At 43.5% G+C, this 20,540-nt stretch overlaps 1 protein-coding gene across 21 annotated transcripts in view; it reads left to right on the forward strand.

Annotated features, from left to right (window-relative positions):
• The window catches only part of ZNF33A (zinc finger protein 33A), a 57,346-nt gene extending 43,180 nt beyond the window's left edge, over positions 1–14,166 (forward strand). For 10 of the 21 annotated variants that reach the window (XM_011519650.3, XM_017016617.2, NM_001324177.2 and 7 more), the window contains one exon: positions 707–6,419. In XM_011519650.3, coding sequence (XP_011517952.1) covers positions 707–2,892 — 2,186 coding nt within the window. In that variant the 3' untranslated portion in view covers positions 2,893–6,419. Of the gene's footprint in view, positions 1–706; positions 6,420–10,419 lie in introns of those variants that run through there. The other 11 variants (XM_011519651.3, NM_001324176.2, NM_001278179.2 and 8 more) reach the window with 4 other exon arrangements.
• Positions 14,167–20,540: the final 6,374 nt, after the last annotated feature.

Raw genomic sequence — 20,540 nt, forward strand, 5'->3', positions numbered from 1 at the left:
ACTTCATTCCTGAGTTTGATTACCCTTTGCCTCTTTAGTTTGCATACAGTCCAAGTCTCTTCTCTTGGATTTCCCACTAACCTGAGCTTTAATCTACGTGAACTCAGACATCTTCTGAGTATTTTCCCACTCATAGTGAAACTTTCCCTTTCTGGGAGTAGTTTTGTGTTTCATCCTCTCTGGGCTGTGTGTCTCCTCTATTCCATGTAATCACCACAGTCTCTGGCTGACTCTCTTTGTAGGCATGGGCTGTCACTTTTTTCTGTATTTGAGTATCTGTTGCTTAGTGGTGATTTGAAATTAGTAATATTCTCCATCTCCTAGTTATGTTAAAGTCATGGATTGTTTAGATAGTGTTATTTGCTCCACTTATGGTGACCTTTATAATTCTTGGGAGGATGCATGGGGAAACGCAGATGTAAGCAGCTGCTATTATTCTTCTTACACTAGAAACCAAATGTGTGCCTTCAATAGTTAAATTCCTCTCTGTTTTTCCACTAGCCTAGGACTTTTGTTTCTGGTTTTTGTTTTTGTTTTTTGACCCCAAACCCATGAAATACAAAAAATATGCACTTGCAATTATGTTCATCTCTGGAAACTGGCCAAAAAACCAGTCAGCTGCAACATGGGGCATTTGTTTAGCGATTTCATTCCCTAAGAAATGTTTTGGTATTTATGTGGTAAGATTAATTTTGCTTGTTTCTAGAAGTCTGGACAGCTGATCACCTGAAAGAGAGGAGCCAAGAAAACCAATCTAAACATTTGTGGGAAGTTGTATTCATCAATAATGAAATGCTGACTAAGGAACAAGGTGATGTAATAGGAATACCATTTAATGTGGATGTAAGTTCTTTTCCTTCCAGAAAAATGTTCTGTCAGTGTGATTCATGTGGAATGAGTTTCAACACTGTTTCAGAATTGGTTATCAGTAAGATAAACTATTTAGGAAAAAAGTCTGATGAATTTAATGCCTGTGGGAAATTGTTACTCAATATTAAGCATGATGAAACTCATACTCAAGAGAAAAATGAAGTTTTGAAAAATAGGAACACACTGAGTCATCATGAGGAGACTTTGCAGCATGAGAAGATTCAAACTTTAGAGCACAATTTTGAATACAGTATATGTCAGGAAACCCTCCTTGAAAAGGCAGTATTCAATACACAGAAGAGAGAGAACGCAGAAGAGAATAACTGTGATTATAATGAATTTGGGAGAACTTTGTGTGATAGTTCATCCCTCTTGTTCCATCAGATATCTCCGTCAAGGGACAATCACTATGAATTTAGTGATTGTGAGAAGTTCTTATGTGTGAAGTCCACCCTTTCTAAACCTCATGGGGTATCTATGAAACACTATGATTGTGGTGAAAGTGGGAATAATTTCAGGAGGAAATTGTGTCTGTCACACCTTCAGAAAGGTGATAAAGGAGAGAAACACTTTGAATGTAATGAATGTGGGAAAGCTTTCTGGGAGAAGTCACATCTCACTCGACATCAGAGGGTGCACACAGGACAGAAACCCTTTCAATGTAATGAATGTGAAAAAGCTTTCTGGGATAAGTCAAACCTCACTAAACATCAAAGATCACACACAGGGGAGAAACCTTTTGAATGCAATGAATGTGGGAAAGCCTTTAGCCATAAGTCAGCCCTCACATTACACCAGAGAACACATACAGGGGAGAAACCCTATCAATGTAATGCGTGTGGGAAAACTTTTTGCCAGAAATCTGACCTCACTAAACATCAGAGAACACACACAGGGCTGAAACCCTATGAATGTTATGAATGTGGAAAATCCTTCCGTGTGACTTCGCACCTTAAAGTACACCAGAGAACTCACACAGGTGAGAAACCTTTTGAATGTCTTGAGTGTGGGAAATCCTTTAGTGAAAAGTCAAATCTTACACAGCATCAGAGAATTCACATAGGAGATAAATCTTATGAATGTAATGCATGTGGGAAAACTTTCTACCACAAGTCATTACTCACCAGGCATCAGATAATTCATACAGGGTGGAAACCTTATGAATGTTATGAATGTGGGAAAACCTTCTGCTTGAAGTCAGACCTCACAGTACATCAGAGAACACACACAGGGCAGAAACCCTTTGCATGTCCCGAATGTGGGAAATTCTTTAGCCATAAGTCAACCCTCTCTCAACATTATAGAACACACACAGGGGAGAAACCCTACGAATGTCATGAATGTGGAAAAATCTTTTACAATAAATCATACCTAACTAAACATAATAGAACACATACAGGGGAGAAACCCTATGAATGTAATGAATGTGGAAAAGCCTTCTACCAGAAGTCACAACTCACTCAGCATCAGAGAATTCACATAGGGGAGAAACCCTATAAATGTAATGAGTGTGGAAAAGCTTTCTGCCATAAGTCAGCTCTAATTGTACATCAGAGAACCCATACACAAGAAAAGCCCTATAAATGTAATGAATGTGGAAAATCTTTCTGTGTAAAATCAGGACTTATTTTCCATGAGAGAAAGCACACGGGGGAGAAACCCTATGAATGCAATGAATGTGGGAAATTCTTCAGGCACAAATCATCACTCACAGTACATCACAGGGCTCACACAGGAGAGAAATCTTGTCAATGTAATGAATGTGGAAAAATCTTTTACCGTAAATCGGAACTTGCTCAACATCAGAGATCACATACAGGGGAAAAGCCCTATGAATGTAACACATGCAGGAAAACTTTCTCTCAAAAGTCAAATCTCATTGTACATCAGAGAAGACATATAGGAGAAAACCTTATGAATGAAATGGATATTAGAAATTTCCAGCCACAAGTCAGCCTCCATAATGCCTCAGAGTATTCACACTGTGGAGAAAGCCCTGATGACATCCTGAATGTTCAGTAACTATCCACAAACTCACCTTATGTTACTCCAAAGTAATAGTAGGGGATAAACCCATAGACTACAACAATTATAGGACAGCTTTTGTTAGGAAGTGATATTCTATGTAATATCAGATGGTTAATACGGGCATAACACCTTACAGATTTTTTTTGAATTTGTGAAAGTTTTTGGCAAAAATGCAAATAAGGTTATGTTAGAATTTACACTGAGGAGAAAATTGTCAATTTAAGAAATCTAAAGTGAAAATTTTGCTTAGAAATAAAATACGACAAGTTATGTTTTGAGTTTGATGCCATAATAGTTTTTAGGGCACCTAACAATAATTTATAGATGTATATTGTGGAATGTAAAGCTTTAAGAACTTAAACAAAGGTAATAATTAAAATAACCTCACAAGAAGTTTAATGAGTAGAGAGAATTCCCATGTACACTTCACCAAACTTCCTCTAAGGATAATGTATAATCATAGTATATGGTCAAGTCCAAGAAATCGATGTTACCTTGCTGGTAGATAGAGACTTAGTCAGATTTTACTATGGTTTGCATGCACTCTGTGTGTGTGTGTACGTGTATGTGTGTGTGTGTGGTTATATCAAACTTTTACGACTTTTACATTTGAGTAACCATCAACACGATTAGTTTACAGAACTGAAAAGGAATCTGAGATCTGTACTGTATCAGGATTACAAAGGATTTAGCCTCAAGTAGTTCCCTTTTTGTATTAATAACCACACGCTTTCTGCAACCCTATCCCTTGCATCCACTTGACTATGAAGTTTTTTTAAAGCACAGATAAATTGAATAATCAGGGCAATAGCATTAAGCACATCTGCGAATTATCCCTGAAGTTCAAAAGACTTATATATGTATAAGTGGTATGTGATATAAATCGTGTGTTTCATATGCATAATGGAATTTAACGTAATTGTGAATAGGAAGTAGGTATCCTAGTTTAGTAGTGGTTACATTATCAGGCCCATCCCAGATGTTTGTGATGTCCTGAAACAATTTAAAAGGAGACCCACAGAGCTAATGTTTATCCATTTAAAAGGTATAAATCAAAATAACAAATTATCTAAAAAAAATCTATCCTGTACATGTGAAGATCTAGGCTCGCCTCCATGTTACTCCCTTTCTCTTCCTACCTGTGGCTCATGCCATGCCATGAAGTGCCTAGGGTACATATGTGAACATTCCAGCCTTCAGCATAAGTGGTAGTCCAAATTTTCTTTAAGCAGCTGCTCTCCAAGACAGGGCCCTGGAAAGGCCCACACATACAGCCCAGGGCTGCCCAGGGCTGTTGGACTGTCATTTCAAGGCTCATTGTCCCCAGACAGGGATCTGGGCCCTCAGACTTTTGAGAATATGAAGAGGAGGGTTGAGGCTGGAGCAGAACCAGAATCAAGCTGGTGTGGGGCTTTTATTGATAGTGTGAAGATTGTACACTATATTACATGATCAGATCATACAAATAATCTAAGATTATACAGTCTAGTGATCCTAGATTACACAAGTAATCTAAGCTTCCACTTTAGGAAACTAGAAAAAGAAGAGCAAATTAAATCCAAAGTAACCTGAAAAAACATTAGAGTAAAAATCATTGAAATTGAAAAGAGAAAATCGATAAAACCCAAAACTGGTTCCTTGAAAAGGTCAGTAAAATTGATAAACCTCTAGCTAGCTTAAGAACAAACAGAAGACAAATATTGCTAATACCAAAAATGAAAGAGGCCATCACAGCTAATCCTATGGTCACCAAAAGGATTAGAAAGAAACATGGACAACTCTGTCCATAAATTTGATAACTTAGCTAAAATGGACCAATTCCTTGCAAGACGCATTCTCTCAAAGCTCACACAAGATAGACCTCAATAGGCATATGTATCTATTAAATAAACCAAAGCAGTAATTAATAACCTTCCAAGGCCAGGTACAGTGGTTCATGCCTGTAATCCCAGCACTTCACTTTGGGAGGCTGAGGCGGGTGGATCACAAGGTCAGGAGTTCGAGACCAGCCTGGTCAACATGGTGAAACCCCCTATCTACTAAAAATACAAAAAATTAGCTGGGCATGGTGGCATGCGTGTGTAGTCGAAGCTACTCAGGAGGCTGAGGCAGAAGAATCACTTGAACCTGGGAGGTGGATGTTGCAGTGAGCTGAGATTGTGCCACTGTACTGCAGCCTGGGTGACAGAATGAGACTGCATCTCAAAAAATAATAATGAAACTTTCCAAAACAAAGTGCCAGGACCAGCTGGGTTCACTGATGTGTTTTTGAGATACTTAAGGTAGAAATGATACCAAGTCTCTACCATCTCTTTCAGAAAATAAAAGCAGAGATAACACTTCCCAACTCATTTTGTGAGGCCAGTATTACCCTAATAGCAAAACCAGGCAAAGATATTACAAGAAAGGAAAACTACAGATCAATATTTCCATTGAACACAGATGCAGAAATCCTCAAAATATTAGCAAATCAGGAATGCAAGGCTTGTTCAACATTTGATATTCAGTGTAATCCATTGCATGCATTAGCAGCTCAAAGATGAAATACGATCATATCAATAGGTACAGAAAAAGCATTTGACAAAATCCAATATCCATTCATGTTAAAACCTCTCAACACAGAAGGAATACAGGAGAACTTACTCAAGTTGGTAAAGAACATACTACAAAAAACCCTACAGCTAACATTATCCTTGATGTTTCCAACTAGACACTTTCCTACTAAGATCAGGAACATGGCAAGGAACACCACACCACTGCTTTTCAGCATTGTACTGGAAGTGCTATATAATGCAGTGTTAAAAAAAAAAGAAATAAAATGCACATAGATTTGAAAGGATGAAATACAACTTTGTTCACAAGTAACATGATTGTCTTTGTAGAGAATTCTAAATAACAAAAACCCTGCTGACATTAATAAGCAATTACAGCAGGATTGCAGGATACAGTCCTCAGGTAGATGATAAAAAGGAATTGGACATCAAGTCATTAAAAGACACGGAGAAACCCTAAATGCTTATTGTTAAGTGAAAACCAATCTGAAAAGGCTTTCTATTTTGTATGATTGCAATTATATGACATTTTGGGAGAGGCAAAACTATTGAGCCAGTGAAAGGACCAGTGGTTGCTGAGAGTTGAGGGGAAAGGAGGGATGGCAGGTAGAGAGGTGATTTTTAAGGCAGTGAAAGTACTCTCTAGGGTACTGTAATTTGTCAAAACGCAGAGAATGGAAAACAGTGAACGGAAAACACAGAGTAAACCCTAATGTCAACTCTGGACTTCAGTTAATAATAATGTATCACTGTTGGCTCATTAATTGTAACAAATGAACCATAATGATGCAAGATGTTAATGATTGGGGAGCCTGTGGAAGATGGGAGGGGAAAGGGTTATATGAGAATTCTCTATACTTTTTGCTCAACTTTCTGTAACCCTAAAGCTACTCTAAAAAATGAAGTGTATCAAGTAAATAAATAACCAACCAACCAACCCTGAGGAACATCTTGTTTCTGTACTAAGGTGTTCTTTTGTTAGTTGTATGTTTCTGACTGAACATGTAAATCATCATTAGTGAACAATTGAATTGCTTTTGTACATCCTTAATATATTTTAAATTATGGTAACTGTGACCTGAAATTAAGGACTAGTATTTTTGGTTCTCTTGACATCTGAAGCCAATAGGGCCTCAAATGACCTAACCTCATTTCCATCCCCACTCTGCTTCCACAGGTGAGGTAACTTAGCAGACAGTCCTCCTTGTCAGGGGGGCCAGGCACAATTCCTGCTTATTCCTAAGTAGTAAGATTTGCTTCCCTGCCAGCTCTTGGAATTATCACCAAACCCCTCACATCCTCCCACAGCAAACAGTGGTCACTGTACTCTGGATAATACAGCTGCTCGCCACAACCCCTCCTTTTCCACTCTGCTCCCTAGTCGAACCCTGTGTGGCTCTTCCCAGCATGTGGTGTCCTTCTCACCTTTCTGAGAGTTGGTGTGACTGACAAACTCACCTAGATCTTATCTGTCCAGTGTCAGGCGTTCAGTGTTCAACCTTTCTATAGCATTGGGGTGGGGATCCTTCCTTCACCATCAGGGTGAAAAGGAAGCAGTTACAACCATTGGCATAAACAGGATGGCCCATCCGAAGCCAGGGTCATCCAGTCCAATTTTAACTAACTGCTCTTAGCTAACTGACAGGTTCCATATTATGGCAAAGGCTTCTTGGACAGAACCACCAGTTGCTGGCAGGTTTGCACTTGGCCTGTGCTGTAATGCACTTTTCTTGGGGGAGGTGAGTGTCGCATCTCTTCCCATTCTAAAATGCTGTTGTGCACAGGACAAGAGTGCTCACCCATTGGCTGTATCCCTTCATGACTTGACTTGGGCTCAGCCTGTTTGGCAGGTGGTCTCTGAGGCTCCCACCTGTACAGGTAGTGACCACACTGTACAGCACTTGACAGTCACTGTACAGTGACGAACTGATCAGCATTTGAGCCCCACTTTCCAAAGGTCTGGCTGGAGCTCTCTGATTATCATCACTGGCTGCATGGAACATCCCTACAGACTATTGTTTGTTACTGCACACCCCTGGCTTGGGCATGCAGATGGCCTATTGTGAGGTTTGTGGAAAGGCAGGAGACAACTGAGGGAGGTGAGTGTGGCACTCCAGTTGCCTAACAAGGCATTCAGGAAGGGTAGTACCTGCATCCCTTTCCTGTGCTGCTCCTTCACTTGCTGCCACCACACATGCTTTCCTGACCCCTAAGAGTGTCAAGATGCACATGCATGGTGGCCCATGGTCCAGGTGCTGATGAGAAGAGAAAAGGATACCAGTTCTCCCCAGATTACCAGAGGAAGTAATCTCTGTAACTCTCCTGCCCTCCCAATGCAAAACCCCTTGCCAGTGTGCCTGAGCGTGGCCTGGCATTGCTGCTTGCCAACATGCCACAGGGTCAACCTTGCAATCATGGGGCCTGATGGCCTACACCTGGGCCACAGACTACATGACCTTACCTTGAACATAGGGAGAGTGACTGTGACATCCAATATGCTTTGAGTGTTTGTGCCCCCTCCAAAAGTCATGTTGAGGCTGGGTGCAGTGGCTCAACAAATCCCAGCACTCTGGGAGGCCAAGCACAAATCCCAGCATTTTGGTAGGCTGGGGCGGCAGGATCACTTGAGGTCAGGAGTTCAAGACTAGCCTGGCCAACATGGTGAAACCCCGTCTCTACTAAAACTATAAAAATTAGCTGAGCATGGTCGTGCCTGTAATCCCAGCTAGTTGGGAGGCTGAAGCAGGAGAATCGCTTGAACCTAGGAGGCAGAGGTTGCAGTGAGCCAAGTTGGTGCCACTGCACTCCAGCTTGGGCAAGAGAGCAAGACCGTCTCAAAACAAAACAAAACAAAAAACAAGTCATGTTGAAACTGAATCCTCAGTGCAATAGCTTGCAAAGGTTTGGCCTTTGGGAGGTGGTAAGGTCATGAGAGCTCTACCTCATGAACGATTAGTGATCTTAGGAGCCAGCTGGAGAGAACACGCTAGAACCCTTTCTGCCCCTCCCCTTTCTGACATGTGAGGGCCCAGTGTCACTCCCCTCAAGAGGAAACAGCAAGGAGGGGCTGCCTTGGAAGCTGAGACCTGGCCCTCACCGGATACTCACCTTTCTGGCTCTTTCATCTTGGACTTCCCTGCCTCCAGAGCTGTGAGAGGTAAATTTCTATTGTTTATAAATGACCTAGTCTCAGGTGGTTTGTTATAGTCCATGGTTCACACAAATGGACGAAGACAAAATGTCTCTTGGAAATTTGGCATTTGGCCATGCTACACTCTCATCTCTGCACATGAGGAATATGTTGGGACACTATTGAAAAAAATCAAACTCAACACCTAACGGCATGGTCCCAATGCTGCGTAAGACATTTGTCAGATTATTTTCAGGGGAAACTGTGAGACTATTATGAGTGCGTGTGTATGGGCATGCAGCCTCTGTGTATGTGAGGTGAGGTTGGGAGAGAGATTTGTAATACCCCAGTTAATAGAATCAATCTGAAGGATTGCTTGAGCCCAGGAGTTCAAGGCTGCAGTGAGCTATGGTGGTGCCACTGCACTCCAGCCTGGGTGACAGAGTAAGACTCTGTCTCTTTAAAAAACAAAAGGCTGGGTGCGGTGGCTCACACCTGTAATCCCAGCACTCTGGGAGGCCGAGGTGGGCGGATCACGAGGTCAGGAGATTGAGATCATCCTGGCTAACACGGTGAAACCCTGTCTCTACTAAAAATAGAAAAAGTTAGCTGGGTGTGGTGGCAGGCGCCTGTAGTCCCAGCTACTTGGGAGACTGAGGCAGGAGAATGGCATGAACCCAGGAGGCGGAGCTTGCAGTGAGCTGAGATCACGCCGCTGCACTCCAGCCTGGACGACAGAGCGAGACTCCATCTCAAAAAAAAAAAAAAAAAAAAAAAAAAAAAAGAGGAAAAGTATCCTGTGCCGGTCATCTGGAAGTAAACAGTGAGTTTGGAGTATGCACACTCTAAAGAAACCCTAAAGCAAAATGCAACTGTGTCCGTGTGTAGTAATAACAGACTGGCATCTTTGCAGATACAAGCTATGAACTAGAGCAAGGCATTCTGACTGGTCCCACAGGTTCACATGGAAAGGAGATAGCACAAATGAATGAAGGAACTGTGGGAAAGACAGATATCTTAATAAATCACATTTCCTTTTTAAGGATATTTTTAAGGCACCGGTGGAAGCAGACATAGCTTGGTAATCTGTGGTGTATTCTCGGAAGGTACCACTTGAATGGGAAAGAGGAGACAGACAAAGACAACCAAGAGGCTTGAACTTGACAAAAATTATTTATAACAAAATGGGCAGCTTTGTGCATAGAGGTGCATGTAAATATATACAAAATGCTAATAGTATCAGAAGATGAACATCCTGCTTTGTTCAGTGATTTCATGGAGTTGTTTTGCATTTCCTTGTCATGTTCTCTGTCTACATGTTTAAAGGGAGGATTACATGTGAACACTATCCGGTATTATGCATCTAAGCTTGTGTTACCAATCATTGGTAGATAGATAGTGAGGTAACTTCTAGTTCCCATCTCCTCTGGTAAGAGCTAAGATGCAAACTCTTTGTGATGAACTGACATCAAGATGAAATATAGCACCCCTGTTTTCTCTGCGTCAGTCTGCCTTCAGGCTCACCCTGTGAACTCACCAAAGGGAGTGAAGTGTGGATGTGTCTCTTTTACCTATTTTCACCTTGGTTCAGTTCTGGTTTATGCATTGTCCAGACTACCCAGGATGTGACGATTGCAGGGAGGAGGTCATGTTTGTCATAAAAATGCTTTGGCTCCTTAGGATTCAGCAAAGGTATCCACTGCCTGGTGTCTGTGGTGCCTGCAGGACAGTGCATTCTGTAGGAAAACAGGAAGAAAAGAGGGCTTTCAGGCCATCTTCACATCAACCCTACGACAGACATTTTCAAATATTGTTCTCACCATCCTTACTCCCTCCCAGGCCCCTGAGATGCTCATGCCCTTGGATTAAACCCCTGCAGTGCTGGAAGAAGAGGACTCTGCACTGCCTGCCACACCAGGACTGGAAGATCCATGGCCTTCCCTTCTTCCAAACTACCTTCCCACAAGATGGGGATGGTGGTCACATCTCCAACACTAGCATGCTGTGGAAGAGACATCAGCATTCTTGCAACAAATCTGGAAACAGCCTAAAGAGACATTTCTACTTCAAAGAGTTGCACTGAGGAAGTGCACTGGCACTGCTGGGGACTCACCTGGGGCCCAGGGCTGAGGCTTCTCGTGTCCTTGGAGCTGCTGTCCTCCCGAGGAGTGTCCACACTGCAGCCAGCTCAGCCTCAGGTGTCTTCTCTGGTTTTGAAACCAAATCTAAGTGGGAAAAGAAGATTCAAGTTTTATCCGATTTAGTCTACATAATTTTAAGTATCTATTTGAGCTCAATACCAAGAATCACTTCCTTCTCTCTCCCATCTGTGATCTCCAGAGGAAAGGTCCCCGGGCTAGGAGACACTGGCTGGCATCCTAAAGCCAGAGCTGGCCAAAGGGTGTGTGTCCACTCTTCCTTCACCTCTTCCCCACCCCACACTTGTTTTTGTCTCACGCTCACTTGCTCTTTCTGCCTCCCTCTCACTCTTTAGGTCTCACAAAGGCTTTGGCCAAAGACTGACTGACTTTCCTTGGCTCTCTGTCATCTCCCCATAGTCAAAAGCATTTCATAACACACAATCCATGTGAAGGGACCTCTGATGAAAATCCATTTAAAGAGGAGCTCACTAATTATCAATACTTACTGCTGAGCCTGGAATCATTCATATATACCTCAGAGTTCATTCATTCCAGATGCAATACTAGATAAGGAGACTCCTATGAACCAAATATCTAACTCTGAATAGATAGTGACTGTCATAATCAAACCCTGTGGCTGCCTCCTCCTTACTGGAGGGTGTAGAGGAATGCAGTTTTTTGTTTGTTTATTTGTTTGTTTTGAGATCATCTCGCTGCAATGTCCAGGCTGGAGTACAATGGTGCGATCTCGGCTCACTGCAACCTCCGCCTCCCAGGTTCAAACAATTCTCCTGCCTTAGCCTCCCGAGTAGCTGGGATTACAGGCACACACCATCGTGCCCTGGCTAATTTTTGTATTTTGTGTAGAGACGGGGTTTCACCATGTTGGCCAGGCTGGCCTTGAACTCCTGACCTTGGATGATCACCCGCCTTGGCTCCCAAAGTGCTGAGATTACAGGCATGAGCCACCGTGCTCGGCCAGGAATGTGCTTTTAATCATTCCTTAGTGTTTCATGTGGGGACTTGATAACTCACGATAAGGATTCTATCCTAAAAGACAAGCGATACCTGTTGACCTGCTCTTATGTCCCAGGCAGTTTGTAAAACTGTTACATCTGTTCTCTCAATATGTCACTTCAAATACGATCAGGAAAGAAAGCTTAAACATGGCTGGAAATGTAGAGGCAACAAATACATTAGTGAACACCCTGGCAGATCCAGCCTCATTCTACATGGTTTCTTGTGCTTTCCTTCCGCACCACCAACTCCAGTGGGCTGGTTGCCAGTGCACCAGCCAATTTCCATGTCTTCCCATGGGACACACTTTTTTTTTTTTTTTGAGACGGATTTTTGCTCTTATGCCCAGGCTGGAGTGCAATGGCCCTATCTGGGCTCACTACAACCTCCGCCAACCGGGTTCAAGCAATTCTCCTGTCTCAGCCTCCTGAGTAGCTGGGATTACAGGCACATGCCACCACGACTGGCTAATTTTTGTATTTTTAATAAAGACAAGGTTTCACCATACTGGCCAGGCTGTTCTCGAACTCCTGCCTCGGCCTCCAAAAGTGCTGGGATTACCGACGTGAGCCACTGCCCCTGGCCTGGGACACACTTTCATTCTGGGATTTGATGTAGCACTCTGACACCTGGACTGGGTGCATAAAGAGAAGGAAATACATCTTCATCTGGCCTTCCTGAAACTCAGAACCCTGTATCCCAGAGCTTACTCAGGATTATAGCATTTGATATAAAACCCTGACCATAGGCTTTTCTTCGACACAGTCCCTTTTACTTAGTTATTGACAGTCTGGATACACTTCTCCTGGTGTGATTGTGATCTTTCCAGCTATTTCTTTCTTAACTGGAGAAACAGAAGGGTTTTTTTATTATTTATTTATTTATTTATTGAGACAGAGTCTCACTCTGTCACCCAGGCTGGAGTGCAGTGCTGTGATCTCAGCTCACTGCAACCTCTGCCCCCTGGGTTCAAGCAATTCTCTGCCACAGGTGCCTGCTACCATACCTGGTTAATTTTTGTATTTTTAGTAGAGATGTGGCCTCACCGTCTTGGCCAGGCCGGTCTTGAATTCCTGACCTCGTGATCCACCCGCCTTGGCCTCCCAAAGTGCTGGGATTACAGGCATGAGCCACCGCACCCAGCCGGTTTTATTTTTATATCCATTATTCCACTCAAAGTATTCCAAAACAGGATCAGGCATTAAACTCTCCAGTGTGTAAAGCCCACATAAAAACACTTAGTAGAGGCCAGGCACAGTGGCTCACTCCTGTAACCCCAGCACTTTGGGAGGCCAAGGTGGGTGGATCACTTGAGGCCAGGAGTTTGAGACCAGCCTGGCTAACATGGCAAAACCCCATCTCTACTAAAAATACAAAAATTAGCCAGGTGTGGCACACACTGGTAATCCCAGCTACTCGGGAGGGTAAGGGATGAGAATGGCTTGAACCTGGGAGGTGGAGGTTGTAGTGAGCTGAGATTGCATCACTGCACTCCAGCCTGGGTGATAGAGTGAGACTCTGTCTCAAAACAAAACAGTAGAAAAGAAACAAAAACCATGTGATGAGAAACGGGACTTTATGGCAGCACTGACCTCACTGTCCTCAATATGACCTATTAAAGAACAAGCATTCTGAGCATTCTGTAATATTGGTTCCAGGTATCAATTACAACCTATCATGATCATGGTGACCCTATTACCTATATTCTCTAGAGCATGCAAATATGATTTAATTTTCTCCTACCAGGAAAAAGGCCCAATTTCACTTCCTTCCCCCATCAATGAATACACCAGACCACATGTTCCATGATTGGTAAAAGGCAGAGATAGGGGTCTTACTTTCAGTTCATTCTTAACATGGTGTAATTGGAGACTGCTTAGCCCAGCTTGTCTTTTTTCTTTGACCCCAAGGAAATGAAACAAAAATACAAGCCCACCTGTATCCTAGACTCCAGACTGCTGATTTCTTTGGCCAGTTGTTCTCTGGTTGGTATGCCAGAGTAGGAGTTCTGCTTAAACAATGCTTGAAGGGCATCCTTTTGACTCGAGTTCAAGACAATTCTTTGTTGAGATTCTCTTGGGAGACAGCCTGGTTTAGAGAAATGGGTCAAAGCCATAGGAAGGATTTGTTGTGGATTCACATCTGTGATTCAGTGTATACAGGCCTTCTGTTGATACCGGGTTCAAGGTGTTGAGTCCCAGTGGTCACTCTGTGTTTGTACTTTTTGGATACACACTCCATGATTAACTGGGTGCAGGGCATTACACAGATTAGAAAGGGTGATAGCCTTCATCCAGAGATCCACACCAAAAAGTGAATCTCATGCCATTCATAACATTGCACACAAACAACTCAGAAACCAGTTGAAAAGGGAGACATTGAACGAAACATTCAGTTTCAAAATGTGAAAATCAAATTTGGACTTTCTGGGTTAAACACATATAGGGCAAGGGTTGAAAGACTACCTGTTGCGCTCTATGCTCTCTACATGAATAACAGAATCAATCGTTCCCCAAACCTCAGCATCACACAGTATACCCATGTAACAAAACTGCACATGTACCCCCTGAATCTAAGATAAAAATAGAAATTATTTTTAAAATTGTCAAAAAAAAATTAAAGATGTTATCTTCAAAGGGTGGTCATTAGGATGAACCTTGATGTGGTCGGAGGGAGGCATGTAGCTGAGTCCCAGTGTTTATATCTGGAGAGGAGAGTGAATGGCCTTGCATCCCCCATGCAGGGACAATGACCAGCAGGGTGTCAAGATCTGTTGTAATATTTGCACCATTACTGAAGATCTGTGTAGCAAACTGGTTCCCAGGGAACTCTTGGCAGGAATCAGAATGCATCTATGTCACTCCTTGTAAAATTAAAAAGGAAACAACAGGAACAACAAAAAACCCGGCAACATTTCCTAGTATTTATGATGCCAGACATTTTCTGAGAGCTGTGTGGCAGCCTTCTTAGTGGAGAACACAGTTTTTGTCCCACATCTCCATTCATCTGGGTCACTGTGCTTCACTCACATGGCATTGCAGTGCTGTGAGATACACCACAGATACAGTCAGCTTTGTCCTGGGACTGGATGTTAGAGATGGTTAAGGAGTGGTCAGCCTCAGACCTGGAGCCTGAGAAGTGATCAGGGATCCCGTCCCCCTTGCCATGGTTTCCATCACTCTTAAGCCACATCACACACCAAGGGTCTTCCCTGACCATGCTACCATGCAGTGGTGTAGGTGCTACGCTTACTGCTCAGTGTGCAGGTGAGTTTGTCTGAGGCTCCCAGGCTGGAAGAGGGACCCTGAAAACAAACTCATTACATCCTGGAGGAAGGAGAAGAGGGGACAATTCTGTCATGAGCGAGCCAGGGATCAGGATGCTGAGGGCCATCTTGGCCTGTTCCATGAAGGAGGAGGATAAAGAGGAGGAGTACGGTGTATGCCACAGTCCAGATACCCCAGTGCTCTACTGAGGCAGCCATGCTGCAGGTCTCTTATCCATCCTCCAGTCCCTAGAGAAACAGGGGCCCTTCATGCAAACCCTTGGCCAACCAAACCCTCGTGGGGTCTTTCCTGCCCTGTGACTAGGTGTCATTTCTGGGAGGCGTGGGCCTGTGCTTACCCTGGCTTGAGGCTCTGCAGGGGCCCAGGGAGGACTCAGCTGCTAGCCCAGTGAGTCCTGAGTGGAGGCCAGGATCAGTGTCTGTTTCCCCATTTCCCCAGCTGAGAGCCCCACAGGTCCCCTCAGGGCAGGCCCACAGGTTATCCTCTCTGTGACTAGAGGAGGAGTGGTTTTCACAGAGGCTCCTGCTTCCACCTAAGCCAGGACCCCTGCCCACTCACTGCCCAATGACAGAGTGAGGTTCTTCCTCAGGGCAGCCGCCTGATGTCTCAGTCTTTAGTTTTCTATGTAGGCCTCCTCATTGGGAACAGGGTGCACAATTCTCACTTCATAAGGAGTTCTTAAGGGAAGGGTTATCTCATATACAAATTGCAGCTGAAATAAGCATACATTATCTACAAGCAGGGGCCATTCAGCCCTGAACCCACTTGCCAGGGTACTCATGAAGCCAGGTTTCTCTCTCCCCACTTGATTGCTCAGGAGATCAGCATATAGTGAGCAGTCTGGTGAGTGCTGGGGAGGACAAATTCACCTGATTGATAGATCCACTGAATTCTCTGTCAAGTGAGGAGAACCCCGGGAGTAGAAGGAGAAAGTACTGGAGAATCAGAAGACTTGGGGGTTTTTCTGAAGTGAGGGGTTAGAGAGATTCACTAAAGGAAGGGGATGCAAGTGACAACTTACAAGATCTGAAAAACTTCCCATGGCTGTTTGGACATAGAGAACTTGCTGACTAAGTGAGGAGGTCACAGGGGAGAAGGAGATGGTAGGAAAGAAAGACTGGAGAATCAAGACAGGAAATTGTGAATCAGAGATGAGGAATGGGAGAGGGTGAGTATGTTCCACACTTTATCAAAGACTGGAGGAGGCGCCAGTGGGGACATTGAACAGGAGTCAGAGGGCAGGTTGAGGTTTGGGGTGTGTTTACTTTCATTTCTGGTTTGTTTCTTAAAGTGGCACCTCTGTCAGCATCTCAACTGTCCTCTCTAGCCATCTTCCTACCTGGACTAGGAATTTTTAAATTTAATTTAATTAATTTATTTATTTTGAGATGGAGTCTTGCTCTGTTGCCCAGGCTAGAGTGCAATGGCATGATCTCAGCTCACTGCAACCTCCGCCTCCCTGGTTCAAGCAATTCTCCTGTCTCATCCTCCTGAGTAGCTGGGACTACAGGCTCCTGCCACCACATCTGGCTAATTTTTGTATTTTTAGTAGAGATGGGGTTTCACTTTGTTGGTCAGGCTGGTCTCGAACTCCTAACCTCAGGTGATCCAGCCGCCTCAGCCTCCCAGAGTGCTGCTATTATAGGCGTGAGCCATGGTGCCTGGCCCTGGACCGGGAAATGTTTAAGTCAAAAGTCTAGTTCTCTCCGCAAGAGATTACTCTTTGGTTTCTGTCTGCTCATGGCTTTCCTTCTTGTTTTCCACCATTCTTATGAATTTGAGGATATTAAAATATGTATGGGAAAATTTGGGGGAAAGGACCCTTTAGAAATGCGAAGTCAGGTCCTATTCCAGACCCACGGAATCAGAATTCACACTTTACACGATCTCAGATGATGTGTGCGCACAGTAACATCTGAAAAGCTCTGGTCTGACTCAGGCATGAAAGCACTGGTGGGTGTTTGTGACAGATTGTTTCTCATGCCTCAGTCTAGTCTCCCTCCTGCAAATGTGCCCAGCACGCTCCCTGCCTGCACGCTCTCTTGAGCAGGAGATGCCAGGCATGCTGCACTTGAGGCTTCCCACTGCACACGGAGACATCTCCCCTGAGCTCACAGATCCATAGCGCTTCAATAACAAGATGATCTGCACATTTTTATTGATATTAATAAGCAATTACAATTAGCTAAAAATCAATATGTATTAGTACCTATGATAAAAATAATATTGTGGCCGGGCGCAGTGGCTCACACCTGTAATCCCAGCACTTTGGAAGGCCGAGGCGGGCAGATCGCCTGAGTTCAGAAGTTCGAGACCACCCTGGGAAACATGATCAAACCCTGTCTCTACTAAAATATGAAAAATTATTGGGGGGCTGAGGCAGGCAGATCACCTGAGGTCAGGAGTTCGAGACCAGCCTGGCCAACATGGTGAAACTCTGTCTCTACTAAAAACACAAAAATTAGCTGGGCATGGTGGCAGATGCCTGTAATCCTAGCTACTCAGAAGGCTGAGGCAGGAGAATCGCTTGAACCTGGAGGCAGAGGTTGCATGAGCTGAGATTACACCATTGCACTCCAGCCTAGGGGACCAGAGAGAGACTTTGTCTCAAAAAAAAAAAAAAAAAAATTAGCCAGGCATGGTGGTGTGTACCTGTAGTCCCAGCTACTGGGGAGACTGAAGCACGAGAATCGCTTGAGCCCTGGAGGCAGATGTTGCAGTGAGCCGAGATTGCGCCACTGCACTCCAGCTTGGGCTACACAGTGAGACTCCATCTAAAATGTATATATACACCAAACATATATATATATGTGTGTGTGTGTGTGTGTGTGTGTGTGTGTGTGTATGTGTATATACATATATATACACCATATATATATATATAATATATATATATTTTTTCATGTATCCTCATGACCAGGGAAATTATTTAAATTAACCTAAAATGACACTAATGGTATATAAAATATAGAAAGATAAACAGAAAAATAATCACAATTGTGGAAATATTAGGGGTATACATGAAATAAATGCATGCAAATTCAAAATATAGGTATATTGATTTGTCTTGGTGTATCAGCGTCCTAGGCCTGAAATCACATGGACCACAAACTGGGTGGGTTAAAACAACAGAAATGTCTCAGTTCTCGGAGCTAGTAGTGCAAAATTCATAGGCAAGACCAGGTTCCCTCTGATGCTTCTAGGGGAAACCTGTCCTTCCTGGCTCCCGGTGGTTTCTCATTTTTTTCCTGCTCCTCCTCTTTGCCATCCTTCCTCCATTCAGCAGGATGGCCCTGCATCAACTCAGTCCATGCATGTGAACCCACCACCTCCATGCACCACATTAAGCACAGCTCCCTGAGTGATCCATAATCATCAACCTCCAGGCACTGACAGTCACTCTGTGTCCTCCCAGCTTTTGGAGAAACTTGTGGACAAGTCATCTCCAAGTAAAGAAGATCTTGTCAATGTAAGACCATGCTTCTTTCTTATACAGAAATTTTGCTTTCCTGGTTTATTTCTTTTCCAATCAAATTTAGAGATAAAAATCTGACAATGTACATTATGGGAGATATAAAATATCCTTAGTTGAGGTGGTATTAGGTGGGCATCTCTTACTAACTGACAGTTTCCATTATAAACTGTAATGAAGAGGCTCTAGTTTTCCCCTTTGAATTAAGGACACTGCCACAGCTAATCTAAATCAACTTGAAAGATAAATTTGGCAGGAAAATATCTTATCTTTTCCACAGTTATCCTCCGTGCTAGTTTTGGGGAACTTTGATTTTTGACTTAACCACTGTACCCCTTCTGGGTTTCTAAAGTCATCAAGAGAAAAAACAGACCTGTGTGAAGTGCACAGCATAATATAATCCTCACAGTGCTTTTAAAATATGATTGCAGATGTCATCAGCCTCAGGGGAGAGTGGTATGTACCTTGAAATAACTCACTGAGGCACAAACTTGCTGACTTCTTGTCCTCCATCTTGGAGAAGATAAGGAGGATATGAAGGATGGAGAGAAAGAGGAAGAGGAAATGTGATGGTGGAGTGGGTAACATAAAAAAGGGAAGCCAAATAAGTATATGTGTTCTCAGTGGCTTCTCACTTTCTTTTGGTCCATCAAGGAGACCAACACATCTGAGGAGAGTGGTGATAGGCTGCTGTTAGCTGGGACCACACTTGCACTTTGAAAACAACCCCCAAAATCCCTGCAGGCAAATGAAGGATTTCCTGAGAACATCCTCCCAGGGAGCAGATACCCATTCTGCAGAAGCTCTAAGCCTGCTGGGCTAAGCCCTCCACAGGCCACTTTAATGAGGAGGAGAGGCTGTAGGTAGTGGTAGGACAACCATGTTGCATGAATTTTCTGTGTGCCCCGTCTTTTGACTCCATCTCAAAAAAAAAAAAAAAGTATGTGTGTTGCTTTGAAACACAAGTGCAGATGTTTATCAGCAGCCTTTGCCTTTGTGGGAGTTGTAAACTAAAAATAAAATTATAACCCCTCACTGACTGAACAGGCCCTCCCTTAGTCAAAGAGACCCCAGAAATACCTTAAAACTGAGTTTCTGGCCATGATGAGATGGGAGGAGGTTCAGACACATCTCATTATACCCCCTCATGTTTATGGTTTAGACAGAACTGCCCAGCATTAGTGTGAAAATAGAGATAATAAGACTGACATAGCTGGGCGTGGTGGCTCTCGCCTGTAATCCCAGCACTTTGGGAGGCTGAGTCGGGCGGATCATGAGGTCAGGAGATCGAGACCATCCTGGCTAACATGGTGAAACCCTGTCTCTACTAAAATACAAAAAATTAGCTGGGCATGGTGGCAGGTTCCTGCAGTCCCAGCTACTTTGGAGGCTGAGGCAGGAGAATGGCGTGAACCCGGAAGGCGGAGCTTGCAGTGAGCCAAGATTGTGCCACTGCACTCCAGCCTGGGTGACAGAACGAGACTCCGTCTCAAAGAAAAAAAAAAAAGACAGACATAATGGACTCTTTGTGGCAATGAGATACCAAATTATAAACAGGACTCAAGGCCACAACAGGCAAGGGTTAAGTCATGCACCCTAAACTTAAAGAATAAACTGTGTTCTAACTGCCGCAAGTTAATTTTTCTCTAGCAGCTAAACAAGCACTGACCTCAAGATAAGCAATATTAAAATAATTGTAGCTCAACACCAGATACTGACTAACTTCCAATCCCTGTTCCACAAGCCATAACTGTAGCTTTGATTGGACAAGAGACTGATTTCAGTAACTTTTCCTGATAAGAAGACCACCTACAGTTTGTCAAGCTCCTGTAGGGCCAGCATAACCATGGCAACCCTGAATAGTCTGTGAATGTTTGCAGGCCCCTTGCTGGTCTAATTTCAGGTACATCACGAAATGAAGCCGGCATCTAATGGAGAAGTAATGTCATGTACACTAACATACGATACCAATGTTGATGAAGATAAAACTTGCCCTCCTACCAAATGGGAAATTAATCACTGGATACACACAATTATGAAAAA

This window comes from Homo sapiens, chromosome 10 (genome assembly GCF_000001405.40).
Source record: "Homo sapiens chromosome 10, GRCh38.p14 Primary Assembly".
Taxonomy (NCBI): Eukaryota; Metazoa; Chordata; class Mammalia; order Primates; family Hominidae; genus Homo; species Homo sapiens.